The sequence below is a fragment of the Homo sapiens genome, chromosome 3 (assembly GCF_000001405.40).
Source record: "Homo sapiens chromosome 3, GRCh38.p14 Primary Assembly".
In the NCBI taxonomy this organism is placed as follows: domain Eukaryota; kingdom Metazoa; phylum Chordata; class Mammalia; order Primates; family Hominidae; genus Homo; species Homo sapiens.
This window is the reverse complement of record NC_000003.12, coordinates 115,704,550-115,729,127: the sequence shown is the minus strand read 5'-3', so window position 1 is coordinate 115,729,127 and position 24,578 is coordinate 115,704,550. Positions and strand designations below refer to the sequence as shown.

Here is a 24,578-nt window from a genome sequence, read left to right as displayed (position 1 = left end):
AATTATTCATATCCCATTTACTGAGATCCTATTGGATGCTAGGAAGTGTCTTAAGAGCTAGAGACATAAACAAAACGGAAAGTTCTTACTTTTATGAAGCTTATATTCTAGTAATGGAAGATAGGTAAATAAAATAATTAAGTAAAGGATATAGTATTTTAAATAGAATTAAGACCTATGTCTATTTGAAATATTTTTATAGGAAGGGTAGTAGAAAATATTAATGGGCTGGTCTTTGAAGGCTTCAATGAAAAGGTAATATTTGAGAAATGACCTAGAAAGTGCCATGTGAATATCTGTGGAAGAGCATTCCAACCAGAAAAAAAGCAGAAAGGCAAAGGCAGGAATGCAGTAATGGAGAGCCGAAAATGCAAAGTCAGGAGTGGAATAGAGAAGGATAACGATGAGGTCATTGTGGCTGAATCTCTCAGCTGGTCGTTTAGTGAATGAATATAACTTAGATTCATGTGGTAGTTTGTTGCCCCAAGTTCATCATCAGGTATGATACGTGAAAGCGCTGAGTTCTCACGGAAATACTTCTCACTCTTGGACAAGGGTATCTTGGTACCCCTAAGGGAAGTTTGTGAAGCCAAAGGAAGGGAAAAAGAGATAGAGACTGATAGACAAGAATTAGAAGTCATTTATTCATTCATCCATTCATCCATTTATTTAGTTTGGCCTGCTATTTTCAGATGCTTCTGGAGTACAGAACCAAATAGGACAAAATATCCCATGCCATGCCTAAGGGATTTACAGTCCAGCAGGAGTCATCTAAGCAGACAGGGTGGGCTAAATCAAGGAGAAGAAGGCAGGATTCACAAGTCTAGGCTGGCAGTGTGGTTCAGAGGCAGGAGGTCAGAAAGTAGGCAAAGGCAGCACTGTAGAATCCTACTGGTGACCTCTGATGCTAAAGCAAAGGCTGCTGTTCCCCTTCAGGTGGAGGTAATGGTTACAACCTTCACTGAATCTTGATATTGCTAAAACTGGAACAGGGGTGCTGCCTCCCTCATGCTGTCTCTCCATTTCCCCTTACTTAGTGAACACTCCAATGTTCCTAGGCTGGAGATCTTTTGCTTATTTTACTTACTCTAGGAAGAAAGGAGAAGGCATAAGGGAAGGTAGAAAAAGAAAAACAGATGCCAGTGTTTCTCCTTTCATTTCTATGCTTGTTCTATTTTTCCAACGTGGCAGAAAAAAAATTTTAAAGCATATTTTTCCTCCCATGCTTTTTTTCTAATTCCAAAAGAGAGTTATATCCTTTTTACTTCTAAATGTAAAATGAAATAGCCATATTCTTATCTATAGCTTAAACATAAATTTGTACCCATGGTGAGTTAATTAATTAGCACTTGTTTCCCACAACACTCCAATTTATAAAAGGTTCTACTTGATCAGCTTCTTCAGGAGTACAATTTTTCTTTTTCTTTTAAACTTTTACTTTAAGTTCAGGTGTACAAATGCAGGTTTATTACATAGGTAAACTTGTGTCATGGAGATTTGCTGTACAGATTATTTCATCACCCAGGTATTAAGCCTAACATCCATTAGTTATTTTTTCCGGATCCTCTTTCTCCTCCCACCCTGTACCCTCTGGAAAGGCCTCAGTGTATGTTCCCTTCTATGTGTCCATGTGTTCTCATCATTTAGTGTGTGGCATTTGGTTTTCTGTTTCTGTGTTAGTTTGTTAAGAATAATGGCCTCCAGCTCCATTCATGTCCCTATGAAGACATGATCTCATTCTTTTTTGTGGCTTCATAGTAAGAACACAATTTTTCAAATGACCACGTCTAGTTTCATAACTGTACTCTTCCCAAGTGCAACCCTGAAGAGTGGTTGGCATTATAAACTGGTGCTTTGGTTTGATAGACCCAGTTTTATTCTAGTTTAGTTTTTAATGTATTTTCAGAGGGTTTAGATAGATCATGAATTCTTACTTCTCCATAGCCCAAACCAGTTTCTAACCACTCCTTGTTGTCTGTATCCAGCTGTTTTATAATCTATACTAAGTCAGTTTTGGCTGCAGTAACAAAAGTACCTCAGACCAGGTGGCATATAAACAATAGAAATTTATTTTTCACAATTCTGGAGGCTGGAAGTCTAAGATCAGGATGGTAGCATGGTCAAGTTCTGTTGAGGGCCCTCTTTCAGGTTGCAGAGGCCGCTATCTTGCTGTATCCCCACATGGAAGAAAGACAGAGAAATCTCATGTCCCTTCCTCATTTAATAAGGGCACTGATTCCATCGGAGTGGGGGGTGGTCTACCCTCATGGTGTAATTACTTCCAAATGCTCCACCTCTAAATACCATCACATTGGAAATTAGGCTTCAACATATAAATTTTAAGGGGACACTAACAGTCAGTTCATAGCAATGCCTTCTCTAAAAAGCAGGGAAACTTCTTAGTTATCTTACTAACTTTCTAGGAATATTAGATATTTAATTCCCAGGTCCTCATGCCCCACCCATTCTCAAGCATTACAATCCATGGTTATCACTAAGACCTCACATAATCACAGCTGCCTAATGGTCCTCAGAAAATGTTTGGGAACCAATGATTCTACTATTCCCTTTGGGAGCAGCAGGGCCAGGATTAGGGTGAGGCAAGTTAAGACTACTTGCCTTAAGTGCAAAATGTAAGGTTACATCAAAAAATTAGTAATCAAGATAGTATTGGGGCCGGGCACAATGGCTTACACCTGTAATCCTAGCAGCACTTTGGGAGGCTGAGGGAGGTGGCACTTGAGGTCAGGAGTTCAAGACCAGTCTGGCCAACATGGTGAAACCCCATCTCTACCAAAAAATACAAAAATTAGCTGGGTGTGGTGGCAAGCATCTGTAATCTCAGCTACTCAGGAGGCTGAGGCAGGAGAATCACTTGAACCCGGGTGATGGAGGTTGCAGTGAAGTGAGATTGTGCCACTTCACTCCAGCCTGGGTGACAGAGTGAGACTGTCTGACAAAAAAAAAAAAAAGTATTTTAATGTAATATTTCAAAATTCAAAATTAATGCAAAAATATCTATGGAAAAACAAATACCAAAATTTTAAATAGAGACAGACTATTTGCTTTATGACTATATTATTGTGCAATAGAATAAGTCCCTTCCACTCAGCCCTCAGTTTACTGGTCTGGCAAATCAATACAGTCCACCAGTCCACCAGGAGGCATGTTTACGAAGGTTGACAACAGCGCATCAACGGATTGGGCAACACAGGGTTTTATATATAATCATGTTTTTGTTTGTAGATCTGTTTTTAACTTTCTCACTTCATTGAAACTATGGGACAATACTTTGATAAGTGTATGCAAATGGTCTTCAACTTACAATAGGTTGACTTACGATTTTTCAATTTTACAATGAGTTCATTGGGACATAAACCAATTGTAAGTTAAAGAGCATTTGTATTAGGTTGCACATTTTTCCTTTTGTCTCAGGCTTCTGAGGCTTGGCATGGCACTGGAAAGTCGCAATAGAAACCACAAGATTTAAAGTCCTCTGTCTCTAACATGGCAATCTATATAAAAATCATTTAAAGTACTCATGTCCTTTGAGCTAATTTTTCCACTTTTGTGGATCTGGCTAACAAAATTATATTATAAACACATTATTAAAAATTTGCAGTTGAAAGTCTAAAGTTATTTACAAAACTATATGTATAACATGAGTCCATGTTTGTCTTAAATAGATAAGTGGATGATATATGGGAAGAGAGGAGGCAGTTAGGCAGGTAGACAGATTACCTAAGGCTGAATCTTTAAATATAAATATGGCTTAATTCTGCGTAGTAAACTGTGGATTATTTTTATCTTTTTCCTTATTTATATTTTCTACCTTTCTATAATAAAATAGTATTGCTTGGATAATTAAACAATCAAAGAAACTTAAAATTTAATTACAATTTATGTGCTTCCGTAGCCAGATCTTACACAATATGAGATTAACCGAAATTTTTCTCCTCTATGGAGAGGCATCTCACTTCATTGAAAATGTACTTAGTAAGGTACATCTGTAACACTAAACATGCTGTAATTACCAACCATGACACATATCTGTAAGAAAACAAATCAGGTGACTAATCTTCTGGAAAATGCACATTCAAAATATCTCTGACACCTTGATAATGTTCTCCAAGAGGATTTAATAACTCATCATTCTCATAGCTCAATCTTGTACTCATTCCTTATGACTGAATTTTTATCCATGAAGAAAGGGAAAAAATGAGGTTATAGCGGGGTAAATACGTGACTGAAAATGGTGGTAGACATGGATGCAGGCCTTGCCTACATAACAGGCAGACATGGGCTTTGACCCCCCAGGAAGAAAAATTAGGCAAGAGTTCTATCTAAAATTAAAGACGCCCATGTTTCTAATGCTCATTAGCTGACATTTATCAAGGAGGATCACCAATCATTAAGTTATTTTTATAAGCAGCTTAACAGAAGCTGTGTTTCCATGAGAACAGTCAATGTTGGGAAGGTAAAAAAAAAAAAAAAAGAAATTAATGGAACTTGTAGTGATCTTAATAATGCTGTATGGAACTTATTCATTAATCTGGTTTTCCTGTTGTCTGGGCTTCCATGCCAACTGCAGAACTAACTGGCTTCTCTGGGGGTGTCTGACATTGGGAATAATGCATTTTTGAGAACTCCAAGTGCCTCTAACCCAGGTTACTGACACAGAGTTTTCTAATTCTTCTGTGATTTTTCTTTTGAACTGAGTGTGGGGTGGAATCACTGTAAAAGAACCCTTAGATCACCACAGACTGACCAAGAAAAGTGCAGGATTGGTCAGAGCAACAGGCACAAATTTTATCTTTATTCCCTTTTGAAATCCACAGCAGTAGATTTGCTCTCATGAATTAAATGTTATGTGAAAAAAAAAAGAGGAATCAAGTTTCTTTCTAGATTTCTGACCTAAGCCACTGGGTAGATGATGGTGTAAAAGACAGGAAAATCAGCCAAATGTGGATTGGGTGATAGAGATAAAGAGTTCTATTTTAGAAATCCTTTTATCTTCAAAGAGACTTAAATTGTATTACATCGTAGCTGAACATTTTAGACCCAAATAATAGACCTCAGTCAAAAGACCTTATTTTATACAGACAAGGCAATGATTTTGCTATCAATGAGATGTTGGGTCTGGAGCCCACTGTCTGACCTTATTACTATTTGAAAAAAATCACCTGTCAGTGTTGAGGTCTTTTTGACTTGTCCTCAACCTAGTTTTTATTTTTCAAAGTAGTCCAGATTTAGGTGTTTCAGAATCAACAACTTAGGTTGTTTCTGAACAGAATTTAGAAACTGTATGTTTCTGTGTCTTGAATGGCCTATTCGTCCCAATTGCTCCCTGACTTTGTGTATTGTCTGTAAGTTTGAGTCACATTGTTTTGCATTTAGTGTTAGGGCTGCAATGATTCTTGGTATGTCTTTTGGGGGCCTCTCTATGGTGTCTTAGAGGCTCTATTATGAGCCTCTCTAATGTGTCTTCCTCCACCTTTACAATTCTATTAAGGAACCAAAAGTTTATAAATGAAATAAATTTAGATACTAATAAGTAAAAAAAATTCCCAACCCTAACACAAGTAATAAGACCACTAAACAGTATATACTAATATGTGCCTAAAAGATCATAGGCTATTGCTTTCAGTATAAATAGAGATTCAGCAGAAGATGTTTAGAATTGTATTTTGAAGAAGTTGAATTTTTCCAAGTCATAGGAATGTTGCTTTCAGGTATAGATTTGAGAAAGAGATTAAAGCATTTCTTACCAAAACACAAAAACAAAACAAAAACCTTTGAGGTAAAATAGAATTTTTAAAGCAGTATGTTGCCAGATATCCTATGTGATATAACTTCAATCTATGAATGATCTTTTCAGCAGCTTATTCCACATCTGATGAGACTCTAATCAGATCATGACTGAGCCCCAGACATTCTTGCTTCCAAGTCTTCCATGAAATTCAGATCAACTCAGAATGAAATCAAACTCTTAAATTGTTTTAATATATGTTATTGATACTTTCTAACCTTTTTCTTTAGGTTGTTTCTCCCAATGAAAATTCGACTTAGTGTCAGTGACCAAGGAAAGACCCTGTTGATTCAGTGAGGACTCATTTTTCATATGGCTTCACCTTTCTTTGATTAATTAGGCACTAGCTCTACACAAAGCTGAGCATAGTTACCGAGGTACAGGTTGAAACTCCGAGGATGACTTATTTCATTGATCTTCATTAGTATGAGGACTTTCTCTTTGACTTAGTTGTCTCTTCCTAGCTAGGAAGTTCTATCTGCAGGTGAGGGTAGAAAGCTGAAGGGAACCCCCTGGCCATGCATGTCTATGAGAGGAGACTCAGGGCTAGAGCAGAACATGACATGTTAGGAATCTGCACCAGAATTGATTTAGAAAATGTAGGGAGGGATATAGAGCATAGATACTTCAGGACTTAGAGATATTGCTTTGTTTCTTATAAGAACTGTTTACCTTCTAATAGAAGGCATTTTAAAAACTGGAACTGGAAATTTGAAATGGATGTGCTAAATGTACACCTTTTCTTTATATACTATCAACATCAGCAGGTATAATGATTATAACTAATCAAGAATCTGACAGCTGCCCTGTGTAGGAATTGTAAATTCAACATAATTTATAAGCTGAAAAAGATACAATGGACTGGCTCAATACTTGGGTTAAAATAAATTAATTAAACAAAAGCCTGGGGGTTTCCAAGAGTTGTACACATCTCTATAATGAATTTATTTTTTATAGACAGGGTCACTTTAGGTTGCCTAGGCTGGACTTTTTAACTCCTGAGCTCGAGTTATCTTCCCACCTCAGCCTCCCAAGTAGCTGGAACTACAGGCATGTGCCACCTCGCCCAGCTCCTCTTTGTAATATTTACCTTAGCAAAACCTAGAATAACTTTTCACTGGATAAACTAAACTTCTCTTACATAATGAAAATACTCTTGAGGTTATTTTAGTAAGAGTGAGTCTTAGTGTTTTTTTGTTTGTTTGTTTGTTTGTTTTTGAGATGGAGTCTCTCTCAGTAGCCCAGGCTGGAGTGCAATGGCACAATGTCAGCCTCAGCCTCCCGAGTGGCTGGGATTACAGGCGCCCACCACCATGCCAGGCTAAGTTTTTGTATTTTTTGTAAAGATAGGGTTTCACCATGTTGGATACACTGGTCATAAATTAGTGTCTCTTATGGGCTGAATTGTGCCCTATCCCCCAAATTTATATGTTGAAGCCTTAAGCTCCAGTACCTCAGAATGTGACCTCATTTAAAAATGAGGCTTTGACAGAGGCAATTAAGTTAAAGTGAGGTCATTAGGGTGGGCCCAACTCAGTATCACTAGTATCTTTACAAAATGGGGAAATTTGGACACAAAGACAGGCATAAAGGGAAGATGTGAAGAGGCACAGTTAAAAGATAGCCACCCATAAGCCAAAGAGACAGGCCTGCAACAGATGTCTCCCTCGAGGGCCGGAGCTATTGGTCTTGACCAGAGCCTTAGGCTTCATCTGTGTTTTCTTTATCAGGGTTGCTGATGTAAAACTGAGAGAAGAAAAAGATGAAAATGTAAGACCCTAGCATGTCCAACCAACTAATGAGAAGGTAGAACAGAAACACAGAGCCATTGGACCTTGATTACTCTCATGATTTATTAATATTCGGGTTGAAAAAGGAGCCTTAGAGCCGCAAGTTTACGCTAATTGGCACATTTGCTTTATTTATTTATTTTTAAAACAAACTGGGTTTTTTGAATTTTTTCCTTTTTGTTCATTCCATCACATTGAAAAGGAGGAAAACAAAAATGATTTTGAATTCACTCGATATTTTGGACTCCTCAGATGAACGGAACATTGCACACACACTTGGAACAGAGAGAGAGAGAGAGAGGAAAGTGGACTCCCACAGGGCCACACGCACCAGATCAAATAACTTGGATACAGTGCAAGAATTTCCCAAAATGATTGAATCATCATTACCAAAAACTTGCCATAACAACACCAAGAAACAAAAAATGTTTAAGCCACACTGTTTGACTTGGGATCTTTCCTGCTTTTTTTTTTTTTTTTTAAATGTTTGCCACACAGAGAGAAAGAGGGCTAGTGGGTGGGAAAGGACAGACTCACAGACGTGAGCAGGACAGGAAGGGACTTCAGAGTGGAGCTGAGAAGAGGGTAGGGAGAGACAGGCTCAGGAGAGGGGAGGGTGGGGATGTGGAAAGCCATTTCTTAGAGTTCAGGCATGTTCTTGGTCAGCCTCAGGTTCCTCTTCTTTACCCTCGTCCTGCCGGGCACTTTCCTTAGGTTTGGTTTCATCTACAGCTTCTGAGAAAGAAAACAAGATAGGATGGGGGGAAAAGGAGAGAATTAGTATTTTGTCTTATCTGCTCATACAACAGTGCAATGCATTTCTTCTTTTTATGTCATTTCATAAGAGCATTAAGATTAAAAGAGATTATTAATATCCCAGTTAATGTAGGTTACAAGTTCAGAAGAGTTTACCTCAAGGAAGCTGTTCAGTGGCACCTATGGAAGAACTCAGGAGCAAAGGTATGTGAGTGACAAGGAGACCACTTAACAAAAGTTACTATGGTCTTTAATCTCTCAGCCTTACAATCAAGGTATCCACATACAGGATCTTCACATAGGGAATCAACGACAATCTTGTATTGCTGTTCTATTAGTGTCAGAAGAATTGTGACAGATAATTTATGTGGACCATCGATCATCTAGTCCAAGTTTCTTACCACTCATTTCCAGTATTGAAAAGTGAAGTAGTTGAATTTTCAGCTCCTGTGGGACAGTGCTAGTCAATTATATAGAAATTGAAGTCCCTAGAGAGGGCAGAGTTGGGTTTTGCCCTTCACATTCTCCTATTCCTGATCACTTGGACATCAAACAATACATGGCACTGTAGCAGCTGCCTTGTGACCATGAAGACAAAAACTATACACTAAGGATGGTGGAGCAAAAAGAAAAAATCATCACTGAGTGACTGTACCACTCCTAGATATCTTTCCCTCAGAAACAAGTCACTAGCCTCTTTAAAGCATTGTAATATAATAGTTTTCAGTTTCTTGCAGCCAAGCACATTCCAACTGAATACACTTATCCACAGGGAAAGTACTGCTTTGCTTAACAGGGAGGATATCATGTCTTTTTGAAGAAAAATTTTCCCTTTGTTTCCCGACAGAACTCAGTCAACTGATTTTATGCTCCCTGATAGTTTACTAATATGCTAGCTTGTGGAAAAAGAATTCATTTGCTCTGAAACAACTTGTGTTGCCAAACAATCAACTCCCTGTGTCAGTGTCCCCCAAGACCACCCCTAGGTTCAGTGATTTGCTAGGAGGACTCATGGGACTCAGCATGCAGTCTGCTTCATAACTAAAATTTATTGCAGCGAAAAAACACAAAGCAAAATAAGCAAAGCTGAAAGTTGCGCATGGGCAAAGTTTGGAGGAAACCAAACAAATTTCTAAGAGTCTTCTCCCCATGGAGTCACCCAGGATGTGCTTAATTCTTTCAGCAATAAATTACCATAACACATGGAAGATGTCATCTATTAGGGAAGTTTAACTGAGTGAGTTTGCACTGGTAATAGGTCATGTAGGCACCCTCCAGCAAGCAGGTACAAAATTCAGACTCCCAGAAGAAAAATAGATGTTCAGCATAAACCACATTGTTTGTACTATGATTTTAGGCACCTGGAACCACTCTTATCAGTTAAGGAATGATGAGAATCTTCTCAAAATCCAAGATCCCAGATGCCAGCCAATGGTCAACTTTACAAACAAGCCTTTCTAAGGATAGCAGTCCCAGGCCTACTGTATTAACTGTTTTTTTTTTTCCTCAATCCCTGATATTGACGATGCCTCTGTCTTAAAATGGAGCTATTGTTATTGCTTGTCCTCCTCTTAACAACTACTAGGTGCTGATTATTCTTGGAAAGGTAAACTGGAGTCCATGTAATTTTGTTAGGCTAACAAATTTGTGTTTAATTAGAAGATAACAGACATAGCTTGAAAGCACTTGAGCAAGGAACATAATACAGCTATGCTTTGAGGAGATTAAACTAGGAATACTAAATAAAATAGTTTTACTGTACATAGATGTTGAGATTAGAGAAATGGGGTCATTAAGGAGACCATTAAAAGAGCTCATCAAAATGTATGTCTCTTTTAAATCAGCCAGCTACATATTTACATTCAGATGAAGCTGAACATTTATACCCACCATTATTAAACAAATTTATGGAATTTCTTCTCTGAAATACCTATCAAAAAACATTCTTTTAGAGCTCTTCAGTAGCAGAAATGCTTATTTTTTGAAAATAGGTTAGGTTTTTAGAATCTAACTAGACTAGTCTGGTAAATAAAGTAAGCAGCTACGATGGGTAATTTTACCTTATAATACTCACTTTTGACCAGGGTTTTAAAGTCTGACTTATTTTATAGGGTTCATAACTCACTATAAGCTATTCATAAAATATAGCTATTCTAGTGATGCTACCTACTACTACTTATAAGATTTTTTTAAGGCTATAGCTTTCCAAAGTGACTGTAATTACCTGTTGAACACAGTGCACCTATCCAAGTTTTGCATGAAACTAACTCAATTCTGATCATTATAATACACTATGCATCAGCAGTATTCCTCAGGAATTACAAAAATTTTGGTGTGCTAATGAGGTATTTAATTTTCTACCAGAAGAAAGATTCCAGATTTATTTCAGTGAAGTCCTTCTAAAACAATTAGGAATTCTTTTGGAGAGTTTGCTTGGTTCCCTAACCCTGCTCAAACCTTTGGATATTACAAGTATGCCCAAGGTAGTTTACCATCCTTATCAGTTCCAAGAAGCAATGTTTTTAGTGCCCTTTTCAAACTGCAAAATAAACATAATATTGATTTACACAACCCAGAAACATATAGAAAGATAGTAGTTATAGGAACAAGAGAAGACTTCAAATCTCTCCTTCCAAAATAAAGACATGGGAGCTATTATGTATGCTTAGAGGGAGATTAGGAAATGAGAGAAAAAGGGAAGTAGACTGGGAAAGGTGAGAATTGCATGTTTGTTGAATAAAGGGAATAAAACTCAAAAATGCAGAAACAGAAACTTGAACATTCAGATGGTTCTGAGATGCAGCTACACTTTCTGTTCCCTTGTTGGAATACAATCAAGCTAAATCCTCCCAAATTCTCCCACTTTCTCTTGTCATCCATTGCCTGGTCCTAGGACAAAAGACGAAATTTGGCACAAATCTGTTTATTATGACAGGAAATTATGAAGCTCTATTGAGAGAGCCTCAATATATATTCATTTTCTCAAATGCTTCAAAGTATTTTAAATGTAAATATTTATTAATTTATTTGTTCAATAAGTTGTTACTGGACACCTGCACTGTGCCAGGCATTCTTCTAGGTACTGAGAAAAAAAAAAAAAAAAGCAAAATCCTTGCTCTCCTTAAAGCCTTTCATAATATACCTTTAAAAGACAATAAAATTCAGGCTGGGTGCGGTGGCTCACACCTGTAATCCCAGCACTTTGGGAGGCTGAGATGGGTGGATCACCTGAGGTCAGGAGTTCGGGACCAGCTTGGCCAAAATGGTGAAACCCCGTCGCTACTAAAAATATAAAAGTAGCTGGGCATAGTGGCATGTGCCTATAATCCCAGCTACTAGGGAGGCTGAAGCAGGAAAATCACTTGAACCTGGGAGGCGGAGGTTACAGTGAGCAGAGATCCTGCCATTGCACTCCGGCCTGGGGGACAAAAGTGAAACTCTGTCAAAAAAAAAAAAAGACAATAAAATTTATAAATATAGAATGTTAGAAATGAGTGGACCCTTTAAGATCATCCAGTCACTAAACCATAAACTCTTCAAGGGTAACAGCAGTACCTACTTCAGCTCAACCTTGAATCCCATGTCCAGCACATAACCTCATTCAGGAAAGAACCTCAGTAAATATTTCTTGAGTGAAGGAATGACTGGACAGCCTCATTTTACAGGTGATGACACTGAAGTCTAGGTGCATAAAGGAACTTTCCCTAAATCATATGACTTGCTTATGACCAAGCCAGAGCTAAAACTCAGGTCTATTTGTTCAGTTTTTCCGATTATATCAGGTGGCCAAACTCATTTTAGCAATTCGGCACTGAAACTAAGTAGCTAGAGTCCATAGGGTTTTAGTGACCCATACAACTTTGGAGATTAAAAAATTGTTGGCTCCAAATTATAAAATAAAACCCGTAAAATTAAAATTGATGAAACTCGATTAGATGGCTACAAAAGGAAATGTTAGTCAGTTAGCTGGAACATATAAAACTCTCTCTCTCTCTCTCTCTCTGTATATATATATATATATATATATATATATATATATATATATATATATATATTTGTCTGAGATTAAAGTAATTTTTTACTTGATATTATTGAATATTAAGCAAAATATTTGCTTTGTTTTAAGCGAAGGGATGACTAGTTGGCAGAAAAAAAAGTGGGTCAAGTCAATGGATGCAGTGAAAGTTTTATAGGCCACCAAGAAATTATGGAGAGGAAAATAAAATATGGATGGAGGAAACAATGTAAAGAAACAATCTATTACAGCTTCCAAAGTGAGATAAACTAAGAACTCATGATAACATTTTTTAAAAATTCTACATCCAAATAAGGGAACAATAGCCAGATGTGGACAATACACCTGCTCTAGCTAGCCCTACTTTTGGTAGGAGACTGCATGTGAGTTTGGGAAAGGTTTTAACCTCTGACAAAGCAGAACTTATTATAAACAGAATCCAAGTTTTGTATAAATAGTTCCATTTAAGCCTGAATATCAGAGGGAACATTTTGATATTGCTAGCTTATTCTCCCACTGATGTCAACCCTAGATAAATCATTGCAGTGATAAATAATGTCGACTGTTTAGTTTATATCTACATTTTCTTACCTGTTCTATTCAGCAGCTTAAAACAACTGCCTGGAAAGAATTATGGATTGTGACTTCCCTGGTCCTTTGTATAAAGTATTTAGCTATAGTTAACATTTTCGAGCTCTTACTATGTGCTCAGAACAGTGCGAAGTGTACCTGTATCATTGCATTTAATTCTCACATCTACCTTAATCACCCCATTTCACAGCTGGGGAAACTGAAACACAGGGAGACTGAATGGTTTACGTAAGGCCACACTGTAAATTCCAACGTAGGACAGAGTTATCTCAGCAGATTTTACTTTAGTTGCTTTCCCTGGTTTTACCTTTGCCCAAAAAGAATGGGTAAGTTCAGAGTGATAACTAAAGCAGGGAGTCCGGTCCACAGCTATGTAGGTCTGAAGATTACAACGTTTAAAAATTGTACCATTAAAAGCAGCTAAAAATGAAGGGAAGAATCCTGATAAGTCTTCTGTAGTATAAAATCTGGTCTTGGCACTTTCCAGCACTAATTATGTGATTTGTAAATGCTAGAGATGAGTTAATATGTAATCTTTAGTATTTTGTGCAAAATCTTTGATCATCATGGTGAGTGTCAAAGACAAATGAATGGCTGGGGCCAGCTGGTCACTCCAATTACCATGTTCCATTTAGAGTAAATAGTCACATTCCTCATCTAGCGGATCAACCTCCCTCTGAGACAGTTATTACTTAGGAAGGGGCTATAGAGTCTAGAAGATTGAAGTGTGATTTTCAACACCAGGTGACATAGAACAAGTGAGTAGAAGCAATGACCTGGAGCTGGCAAATGAGGAAAGCCTGGAAGTGCTAGTGTGACGGCTGAAATCCAGCAAGGCGAAGCGTAGAATATGCTTGTTCTTTTTCAGTTTGCCTCTGAATAGTACTTTTACTTGTATTAAACATTAAAACTTAATATTAGTACTGTTATTTTGTTTAAGACATTACAGGAAAAACAAAAATGAGTCACAGTATTATGCATTAAATGTCTGTGTTCCTTCAAAATTCATATGTTGAAATTCTAACCCCCTAAGGTGACGGCATTAGGAGTAGGAATCTTTGGGAGGTGGTTAAATCATGAGGGTAGCGGACTCATGACTGGGATTAGTGTCTTTATGAAAGACACAACAGAGAACTAGCTAGTCTCTTCTACCATGTGAGGACACAGCAAGGTACAGAGAAAGCTGGCCCTTACCAGGATTTGTCTGTTGTTTATAAGCCACCTAGTTTATGGTATTTTATTATAGCAGCCAAAGACACTCGGGCTGTATGTGTGTGTGTGTGTGTGTGTGTGCACGCGCACACGTGTATCTATGTAGTGACCATTGAATGAATTTCCTAAGACTATTACTATTATCTACCTAGTGATGGCTTCTCCCCAAATCCATCTTTACCAGGGCAAAATCAATCCCCCAAATCCAGTTCTATTATAAAACCGAATGTGTCTAAAAAAAAAAAACAATAAACAAAAATCGATGATGTGTTTTAGTTTTAAATTTAGTTTTAGTAGTTTAGGCTTTTTTTCCTTTTAGGGGAAAAAAGTTTTTTCAAGACACAAATTTTTCAAATGGAACATAGTCATATTTTCAGGAGTAAATAACCTTATTTATATGAGAGGCTTAAGCTAGAGGCTCAAAAACTTGATTAAATTATTTAATGAAGTTGATTAAATACTCTTGCTGTGCCACGATTTAGTCTCAAAAATTATATTCAGTCATTTGGACAGATAATGTTAGAATCTGATAGAAAGCTGTAACCTGCCCATGCCATGGCATTTTAGCCTTGACAAAAACATTGCTCTTCCAAGCCCAAAGACAGCTTAGAGATTACCACCACGTTCACTGGCAGCCTCCATGAATTTTGTCATTTCTGTGTTAACTTAAAAAGAGAAAGTTAACATCATAGAAAGTAAATTCATATATTCTTGATGCATGATAGCTCAAGGATCCTTCAAAAGGGAAGAAAGAAAATGTTTTCATTCATTCATTTATTCATCCAGTGAAAGAAATTATGTCTTACTATGTCCATACACTGTTCCACGAACTGCAAGTATAGCAGTGGTGACACAGCCATGAAAACACAAAGCAAAAACCTCTAAGTTATTGGAATTTATATGCTAGCAAATTACTGTAATAATGTGTTGTTTATTGGAGAAAGAATGGTAAAGGAAAGAACAGCTAGATAAGAAGCACTCAGCCCTAAGGAGCGTAATTCGTCCTGGGTCACTTCTCTTGGATTTGCAAAGCTGACTAATTTGAATGAATCTCAGAAGTTTTGAAAAAGGAAAAACCATAGTAGTTTCCATATTCTTGATCCACAACCACAATTCCTAAGAAAGATCAAAACCACACTAAGACAGCAATAAAGATCTAAGTTATCTCTGCATGTATTTACAACAATGTAATGGTAGCCTTAAAGGATTCAGGGGATTAAGTGGACAATTTCACAGTGGTCCTTGAAAGATGTATGCCAAACTTGCTCTCTGATTCTTGCTAAAATAGAGTTTGGAAGCAGTTCTTGCCTTTATGCATTCCATTCATTTCCTTGAAAGGATGAGAATAGCATGTCGATGCATTCTGTTGGTGAGCAAATACCAGGAGCATATGCAGCAGCGGCTGCTTGTGCGCTCAGCCAGGCAGCCTGGTTGCAATGCTGCTGGAGGGATGGCGATGTTCCCAGCTGCCATTGCCTACACTGAGCTCTAATGGCCCTGTTTTCTGGCTCCAGTCCAGGCCCTTCCACAGCCCTACATTACTGAAATTAGGTTGAGTGGATTTCCGAGTAAAACATTACCTCTTGGGACCTGCCCAGCTCTCCCCAGCCTTGTCAACATTGATTAAATAGAAGCTGCTATCATCCTGGGGCCATGCCCACAATTACTCTACCAATCACCAATGAGCTGGGTGTTTGCTTCCTCTCTTTTTATTTTCATCTTTCTTGAATATTAAGCATCATCACCTCAAAAGCTCAAAGGAAAGTAATAATAATAATAATAAAAATCTTTGGCAGCTAACTCACATATGGCCCTTTTGTTGCTCACACAGTCTTTTTCTTTAGCTATATACCAGATGTCCATCTGGAGCCTGGATCATGGCTTTCAGTGGTCACTGTGATCCACATTTTGCTCGTTTCATTACCATGTTTCACATTTTAAGTTCCTTTCAAAACACTGAGCCAGTATATTTCATTTTGATGTGAGGAGAATTATGCAAGTAACATCTCTGCCCCCATTTCTTCCTTACTTTCCAAGCACTTAAAAGAGAGAATAACCTTTTTGCTAATAACACTATACACTAAAGGATTTCAAAGAGTAACCAAGAAGAAAAATCAGAGGCAGCATGATGGGGTCTCAGTGATATCTGCAATATGCCATCTACATGTCTACTTTTTCCCTCAAGTTTAGGCCTAAGACCAGGCTGATTCCTATTCTAGCCTAGACTTTGCCACTAACTAATCATACGACTTCAGAGAAGATGCTTTTCCTTTCTTTGTCTCAGTTTCCTAATATACACATAATATGAATAATAATGCGTGCCCTACCTTATCGTGGGTTGTTTGGAGTTTGAAGGGAGGTATTTGAAAGTGCTTTATAAAATCTAAAGTGCAGAATGTAGTTTGTCGAGATTTTAATCCAATTTATGGGGTTTGAGATTTGCTGAATTTTAATCCAACCTTCAGGAAATGAAGGATTTGAGAAATTCACTCAACCTAATTCTAGCTGCCAAGTTTTAATAGTCTCAAGAGGAAAAAAAGCAATTCTTCCACTACCCACCAAAAAACTTCTTTCCCAGACAGATGATTAAGAGACCTTCTCCCCTAGAATGTTTCTGTAAAGTCTGACTCTGATGAGGAAACAAAGATATGAATGACTAATTAATTAGAGAGCACTACTCAGAAAATAAAGATATGAGTGACTATTAATTAAAGACAGCTACTCTTATAAAACTAGGACAGAATATAATATTTCTAGTCTATAGAACAAAAGACAGTGTTTTTTTCTGAATGGAGAAAAAACCCAGAGATATTTTTTTAAAAAATTAAAACTAAAGCCAAAGAAGGTACAAGTTGACTAGCCTTGAAAACTTCTTAAAACATTATTTATAAAAAATGTCTATCAAATCATCAAAAATTAGTGTTCTCTCTTCTTCCCCAACTAGAAATATGCAGAAACATCAATAATTATAATTTACATGGCTTGCCTACTTGCCCTCAATAATTTTTGGAATAAGATGAAGTAAATATATTAAGTTAAATGATGTTAACTTTATTTCTTACCATTATTACAATGAATAAGTCAACTTCTAAAGGTTAAAAATTAAAACAAGAAATTAAGGGTATTCTCACTTTAGTATAACAAACAGTCAAATAAAATCACTCCCTCATCCCTGCTCCCAGCTAAATTACATGCTGAGCTGGCAGTGGAATCTGTGGGTCTATTGAGGCATTGCTTCAGTTTGTTTGGGGGTTGGAGGGAAGAGGTAGAATGCAGAGTCAGCCTAAAGATAAACACTGATGGTTCCAATGGCACTGAGAAATTATGAGAAATGCCATGACAAGAATAGAAAAATAATGCGATAGTGAGTGTTGTTAACTAATAGTGATGATTAGAGACATTTCAACCTAGGAATTTTTGTTTTCCTCCTTTCTGTAGGGGGGTGTGTGTGTGTGTGTGTATTTAGAACTTAAAAATCCCACGTGTGCCCAAACTTTATCATGGACTTCTAAAGACCTGAGTTTCAGGAGCTCTTTTCTCTCAGCATTTTCAAATTCTTGTGAGCTTGCCATAAATTGATTGCAAGTGGTCATTATCACAGTTGCAGTGTTGGCTCATAGCACTTTGCCGTCAAATAATTTCCTGAATTCTTTTTGAAATAAGGACTATTTTATTCTCCCAGGGGAATTCCAAATACATGCGTGCACGTGCACACACACACACATATGACCGTGAAGAATTTATAGCTTTATTTAAGAACTTTGATATATGGTATAACCACAGAAATCTAAAGCTTGGAGGAACGTAAGAGATACTTTAACACCCAATTTTTTGATAAGAAAATTGAAGCTGTAAGAAATTAGGTAATTTCTCTACTATGGTCATAAAATTGAAAAAGGCAGCACTGAAATCCAGGACTCCTGACTCACAGCCCAGTAATCTTTCCTTTATGGTATGATATTTTTCTAGGAGACTGGGGCAGATGACATTCAAAACCCAAAAACATGCTTTATCTTTATGCCTTGGCAGGCTGGATTCACTGAGACATTGAAGCTGATAGTTTGGTTTCATTATCTTACCAAACATAAAAACGGAAAAGAAGGAAAAAAAATAGGCTATGTTCTTAAATAATTTGAGTGGACAAAAATCATAAAACCTAAGTTTCACTTTGGGAGGCTTCATTTTTAACAGAATTTTATTATTAACTATTTTTTTTACCCAGTTTTCACTGTGAAGGGACATTAAATAATGAAATTTTTTTGCTATGAACTCTAACCATGGACACAAGCAAGAGATTGAAGAGCTAATTGGTCTCAATAAAAACAATTTATACATCCTGAAAATTTGGTTCAAAACAATTTTTAGTGGATTTCTCAGAGATTTGAACTAAACCAAATTATAAAACAAAAACTGGAATAAGCAGAACCATGTCACTGATATTCAACTATAGCAGTGCTTTTTTATACTGATCAATGAATCAGAAAAAGATTTTGTTATTCTCCCTCTTTAAAAACTCCATAAATCAGTTTTAATCAGGTTTAAAATAAACGTGTTTTAAATATTTGAGTTAAAATATCTAAATTATCTCCAAACAAAATTTGATTTTAACACTTATTTCACTCAGTTCAAACTTCTCAATTTTCACAGTAAAAACTAGGTCAAGGTATAGCCTATGATATCTACAGACAAAAAAAAAAAGAGTAGGTGAATAATTTTTCTAGGTTGACTTAGAATGTGATTTCCCAGAAAGCAAACTTTTGGGAAACTTTCAATTTCTATGGTAACCATAAGTTATCTACACTGCTTGGCACATTATAGTGAATCAGCACTTTAAATTGTAGTTCTCAAACCATACACATGAATCCGTGGGTGCTACAGTGAACTCACAGGAGTGCCAATATATATTTTGAAATTTGAGAGAAACTATCTGTTGGATACTGTGCAATATACTATTATTAAGCTCCTTGAACCTAACTGTCTAATAAGCAGAGGTTTAGGGGTGCCGTGAAAAAGTTATCGAGCCATAAACTGGAAAAGCTTGAAAACATATGTTTAAAATTAACATTAAAATCAATTGCTCATGTGTGTGTATATATATATATATATATATGTATGTTCATGTATACTTGCAAAATGCAGTAAAAATTAAGAATGCCATTTGAGACTTTAAAGTGCTATAAAGGACAGTTACAATATGACTGATTATCCAGTAATAACCTTTTTTCATATTAGCATTTTAAAAAGCTACTTAGTCAATGTTTGTACATCACCTTGAAAATGAAAAAGTGCTTTATGATTTGGTTCATTAGCATATATTCTTTGACATAGGCCTTAGAGTGAAATAAGCAAATTTATGTTATTGTTTTAGAACACGATCAATTTACTAACCTTTAATTCTAGGAAGTCAATGTTAATTGTATGTGTTTAACACTCTGAAAAGAAGTTTACAAGAAACACATCAGTAATTTCAATTCTACATCTCCCCGTTTCACTCCACAGGATCCCAGTTGAGAAGAATCCCAGCTAGGTGAAAATCTGAGCTGGGATTTCAGCCTCCAGCCTTTGCAAACTCAATTGCCTAAGAGGCCAGGCAAACAACATTAATGTGAAAATCTGGCCAAGGGTAAAATTGGCAGTGGGGTCTGTGGGGAACTGGAGAGTGCAGGTTTTGCCTAAAGGCATTAAAAAATGCTAAAGAACTCTCGCTGCAAAAGCAAGAGGAGGCAGGGCGTCTGGAGTAAGACATGTAAATTTGTGGACTCTGACTTAAAATGAAAGAGGTTCCCATTAATCAAAACTAATCAAAATAAAAGGCAGTCTCATACTTGCCTACAAGAACTAACTTTAAATCTGGGGTTCTGAATGACAGTGCTGCTTTTTCTATTTTACTAAATTTAAACTACTAGCATTTAAGATTTTTCAGTGAAGTAAAAATAAATAATACCTATTTCAGATTTTATAAATGTCCCACCAAAGCAAAAAGAGATAGCAAAAAAAAAAAAAAAAAAAAAAAACCCAGCCAGTTGTCAATATCATCTGTTCCCTCACTTGCCACTCAAATATTCTACAACTCTACATCTCTCCACGTGCCTTTCAGATGTCCTACATTCCTTGTAGTAGATGCTGTTGGTGCCCCTCTCAGATCTTCTTTACCAGGTCCATGCTCCCATCCCCCAGCTGCCAGAGGTGTTGGCTGCTAACAGCCCCACCTGCCACTTGGGTAAGGTATAGAAAATAGGAGCCACCTCAACCTGGTTCCTGAGGGGTCATGCCCCTCTGCCTACCATGACTCCACTCCAGTACCCTTGCTTTTGGACAAAACAACCTCTATGGTGCAGTTTGTGCTTCAGAGCTCTCTGTTGGATCAGGCTGAGACATTTCCCCTGAACTCTCGTCTTTGCCTGGTATCTTCCTCTGCTCTATCCTCTTTTCTCTCACTCTCTTATAAGTTTGCACCAATAAATTATATGCACAAGAATTCCCTTCTTGGACTTTGATTATGGAGATCTGGACCAAAGATAGCTCTTTAACCAAAAATTAAAAACTGGAGTTGGGAGGCAGACCAGCCAATGATATCAGTGAAGGATGTAGTAAATCTTCAAGTTTGACTCATTTGGATTTACTGCTTATAATTCCTATGACCCAGCTCAACTACATTTTCAACCTCCAAACTTACACTAAACAGAATTCATCACTTCATTCTCATATGGAAGTTATATGCCTTGCATTATATCATAGTTTGTGGTATCTTTTTAGTCTTCTTCAGTTGACTGTGGACTAACTTCTCAAAAGAAAAGTATACATTTGTTGGTGTTTTAACTCCACAAAAGCAGAGATTTCTTTTATTTTGTTCACCAGTGAATACCAAGTACCTAGAAACATGCCTGGAAAGTATGTTTCTAGATACTTGGTATATATGTGTGTGTGTGTATATATATATGTGTGTGTGTGTGTGTGTGTGTGTATCCCGATATATATATCTTGAATGCTTTGTGACATGTAGATGTCACCAAAGTAATTAAAGTCACCTCAATTACCTCGGGAAGAAAACCTGTGGTCCTATAATGTTACCATGATCAAAGGAAATAGCAAAAGTTTGTAAATTTAAAAATATTGGATTATAAAAAGGAACCCCAATGCTATTCTGTTTCATAGCCATGAAAATCATTATCCCATCATTCTCCATTTTTTTGCTAACTTTAATTTTATACCTATCTTCTAATTTTATAACCAAGTCTTCATATATAAAGAAAAAGTAAGAAATAGATATCTACTATAAGCATAACTATTTTTAGATGCGCAAAGTAGTAGTTAAGAGAGTTGATTCTAGAGCCAGAGTGTTTACATTTAAATTCTGTCTCTCAGGCTGAGTGCAGTGGCTGATGCCTGTAATCTCAGCACTTTGGGAGGCTGAGGTAGGAGGATCACTTGAGCCCAGGAGTTCAAGACCAACCTAGGCAACATAGGGAGACTCAGCCTCTACAAATAATTAAAAAAATTAGCTGGGCATGGTGGCATGTACCTGTCATCCCAGCTACTTGGGAGGCTGAGGTGAGAGGATCACTTGAGCCTGGGAGGTCAAGGCTGCAGTGAGCCACTGCACTCCAGCCTTGGTGACAGAGCAAGAGCCTGCCTCAAATAGAAACAAATAAATAACAAACAAACAAATAAATAAATTCTACTTCTGACACTATGACCTTGAGTAAATTACTTAACCTCTCACTGCCTAATTTTTCATAATATTGGTACCCACCTCATGGGGTTGTTATGACAATTAAATGTGTTCATTTAAAGTCCATATCAATAAATGACATATTTAAGTAAGCGCTTATAAGTGTTGGCCATTATAATATGACTAGAAGGGACCTAACATTGATTAATGTTTACTATGTGCCAAGCATTGTGCCAAGAGGTTTCACATATAGGTAATCAAAATGTATCTTTGCTGCTTTTCCATTTCTTCATAAGTAAAATAGGAATAATAATATCTACCTCATAAATTTGTGATGAACATTAAATGACAATAAACATTTTAAAATGCCACTTCTTTGCTCACATGAATGCCTAATAAATGAGTTATCTTCAACCTTTTCTCTTCTAACTTATGCTTATCCAATCATAACTCACAGCCAAAGAGAAACTGTCTTCAAATATCCTGACAAAGAAAGAGAAGAGTCTCTGACTTGTAAAGTTTCTGCTTGTGGAGTGAAAAAAAGAATAGTTTTTTGAAAACGGCTTTGAAGTCAGAGACCAAAGTCCAAAAATGATCACAAAGGCAAAGGTGACCATCGGCCAAACTTGAAGGGCAGCAAAGAAGAGAAGTCATGATTCAGTAATACAAGAATCAAGGCTACTAAGCAGTAATGCCTTCAAGGGCAAAGACCTTTCTGATATCGATGGTATTTCAAAGCAGAACAGCCTTCTCTATTTCACATCTAAAGAATAGCAGCCAGTTGATTAAACAAACAAAAACCTTATCTTTGAGCTAGCTTCATTTGTAGAAAAACTATGTTTACCATACTGAATGAGTAAAAGGCCAAGTCACAGCCTACCCCCCAGCTGGGTAGTAAATCTTGCATCCAATAGGCAAGTTACAGAGAGGATGGCAATTCTCCAGGCTTAAGACACTCCATCCAACTTCAAGAAAAATTCCCTTGTTTAATCATAATGCTGGAATCCTATACTTGAAAAGGACCCTAAGACTTCTTTTTAATAATTGATTCCTTAAGTTTCAGGAAAACGGTAAGATGCAATGAGATTTTTCAGCTTTTTTTGTGAGAAAGTTCTCATTTCCAGGAAGTACTGAAGTTATTTGGGGACAGGCATATGATGAAGGAAAAATCCTTTGAGAAGACTGCGCTGATGGGGTTCTTCTTTCTACTTATGCAAAACACTCTCGTTTCTGGGCGTTCTCAAATAGGGAATCCCAGCAGACTTTGAAGAATAAGGAATCAGAATGGGGTAGGAAGTGGCTGTTCTCTTGAAAGTTTTCTAGGCAAAGAGACGTCATACTTCTTTTGGAATCTTGTTCAAACATGATTGAAGTTAGCACCGACCTCCACCCTCCACGAAGGATTTTCTACAATTCCTCCTGCTGCATTTTGGAGGAAGTTAATAATTTTCAAAAAATTATACCTCGTGTATTTGATGTTAATTATTTAGGTCCATACTTAAGAGGTGAGGAAAAATTAAACAGGCTAATCATGTTTGTTGGTAATTTTTTATTGAATCTACTTTCTTAGCTTTTCCTTCTCAGTTTTTCATATTCATTGAATGATTGCTTAGGCATTGTACCGGCCTTTTCAAAAGTTTGGGTTTTTTATGTTTTGGTATTTCTATTATACCCATTATTTTCAACAATGTCACCCTAGATCTCATCTAATGAGATCAATCATAAAAGTGTTACTGTAGTAATTCCTGCCTGCCAGACTTTGAGAAAGTTAACCAACTATCTTTCAGTTATACTGATTTCCATTTAAAAATTCAATAAATGATTTTAAATGTTTTAATATATGATGAGTTAATATTCCTTATTATAAAGTTGGTATTTCCAATATTTACCTTTAAAAGCAAAAGCAGATCTAGGTTTGCCAAATCCCATGATCTGATATTTGATTAAATGATTTAATTATCTGACACCAGGGTTAAAATACAGAAACTAAAGCCAGACATAATTTTAGCTCTGTAAGAATGACACCAATAGTGACTACAGCTGCCTAAAAATATTTCCTATTTATATCTACTGCTTGGGTAACATTTAAATTTTTAAATAAAAGCACTGCATTTATGAGTCATATTCATTCAGCTCATGCCTTGCCGTGGTTCGGCATGATGTGTTTGGGTAGTACTTGAGATTAGCCAGACAATTATTTATCTTTGTTGTTTAATTTTCCCTTATGGCTGTATCTACACAGCACAAAGTAAACTAGAGACTTGGCAGTTGTCTTGTTAATTTTATCAAAGCAAATGGCTAAGCCACATAAATCAGGACAAAAATACAAAATCTGTATATACCGTCACAGACTCAGCTTGTAGTTGTTCATGAAATTACAAAGTAACAGAAGCTGAAGGAGACCTTAGAGATGATCTGATTTCAGTTCCTTATTCTCTATGAGAAAAGCTAAAGATGAAGAGTTTTTGTGACTTGTCCAAAGACACACAGCTAATTAGAATTCAGCGATCCTCCATTAGATCATATTGCCTTTCATAGCCTTGGGGAATGAGTAAAATCTGCTTGATTTTAACTTGCATCTCTTCCCAGAGTCCTAAATGTACTGTATTACTCTAATCCTCTCTCCCTTCTTTCTTCCTTCCCTCCATTGCTATTTTTGTTTGAGAAATGCAAGGTAATTCAATATAATTTTGCTTTAAGGCCTACCAAAAGTAATTTTAGATACTCTGGAGG

The 24,578-nt window shown here is 36.8% G+C and overlaps 1 protein-coding gene across 2 annotated transcripts in view, besides 2 other annotated features; it reads right to left on the bottom strand.

The window, feature by feature from the left end:
- Positions 1-7,644: 7,644 nt before the first annotated feature.
- The window catches only part of GAP43 (growth associated protein 43), a 97,974-nt gene continuing 81,040 nt past the window's right edge, over positions 7,645-24,578 (bottom strand). For both annotated transcript variants that reach the window (NM_001130064.2, NM_002045.4), the window contains one exon: positions 7,645-8,334. In NM_001130064.2, coding sequence (NP_001123536.1) covers positions 8,246-8,334 — 89 coding nt within the window. In that variant the 3' untranslated portion in view covers positions 7,645-8,245. The remainder of the gene's footprint in view (positions 8,335-24,578) is intronic.
- Positions 15,102-15,602: an enhancer, noted in NCBI's record as "H3K4me1 hESC enhancer chr3:115432373-115432873 (GRCh37/hg19 assembly coordinates)". NCBI's record gives its function as "activates a minimal SCP1, AML or CMV promoter by ChIP-STARR-seq in naive H9 embryonic stem cells {active_cell/tissue: H9 hESC(naive)}" and the evidence as "EXISTENCE:reporter gene assay evidence [ECO:0000049][PMID:30033119]".
- Positions 15,603-16,103: an enhancer, noted in NCBI's record as "H3K4me1 hESC enhancer chr3:115431872-115432372 (GRCh37/hg19 assembly coordinates)". NCBI's record gives its function as "activates a minimal SCP1, AML or CMV promoter by ChIP-STARR-seq in naive H9 embryonic stem cells {active_cell/tissue: H9 hESC(naive)}" and the evidence as "EXISTENCE:reporter gene assay evidence [ECO:0000049][PMID:30033119]".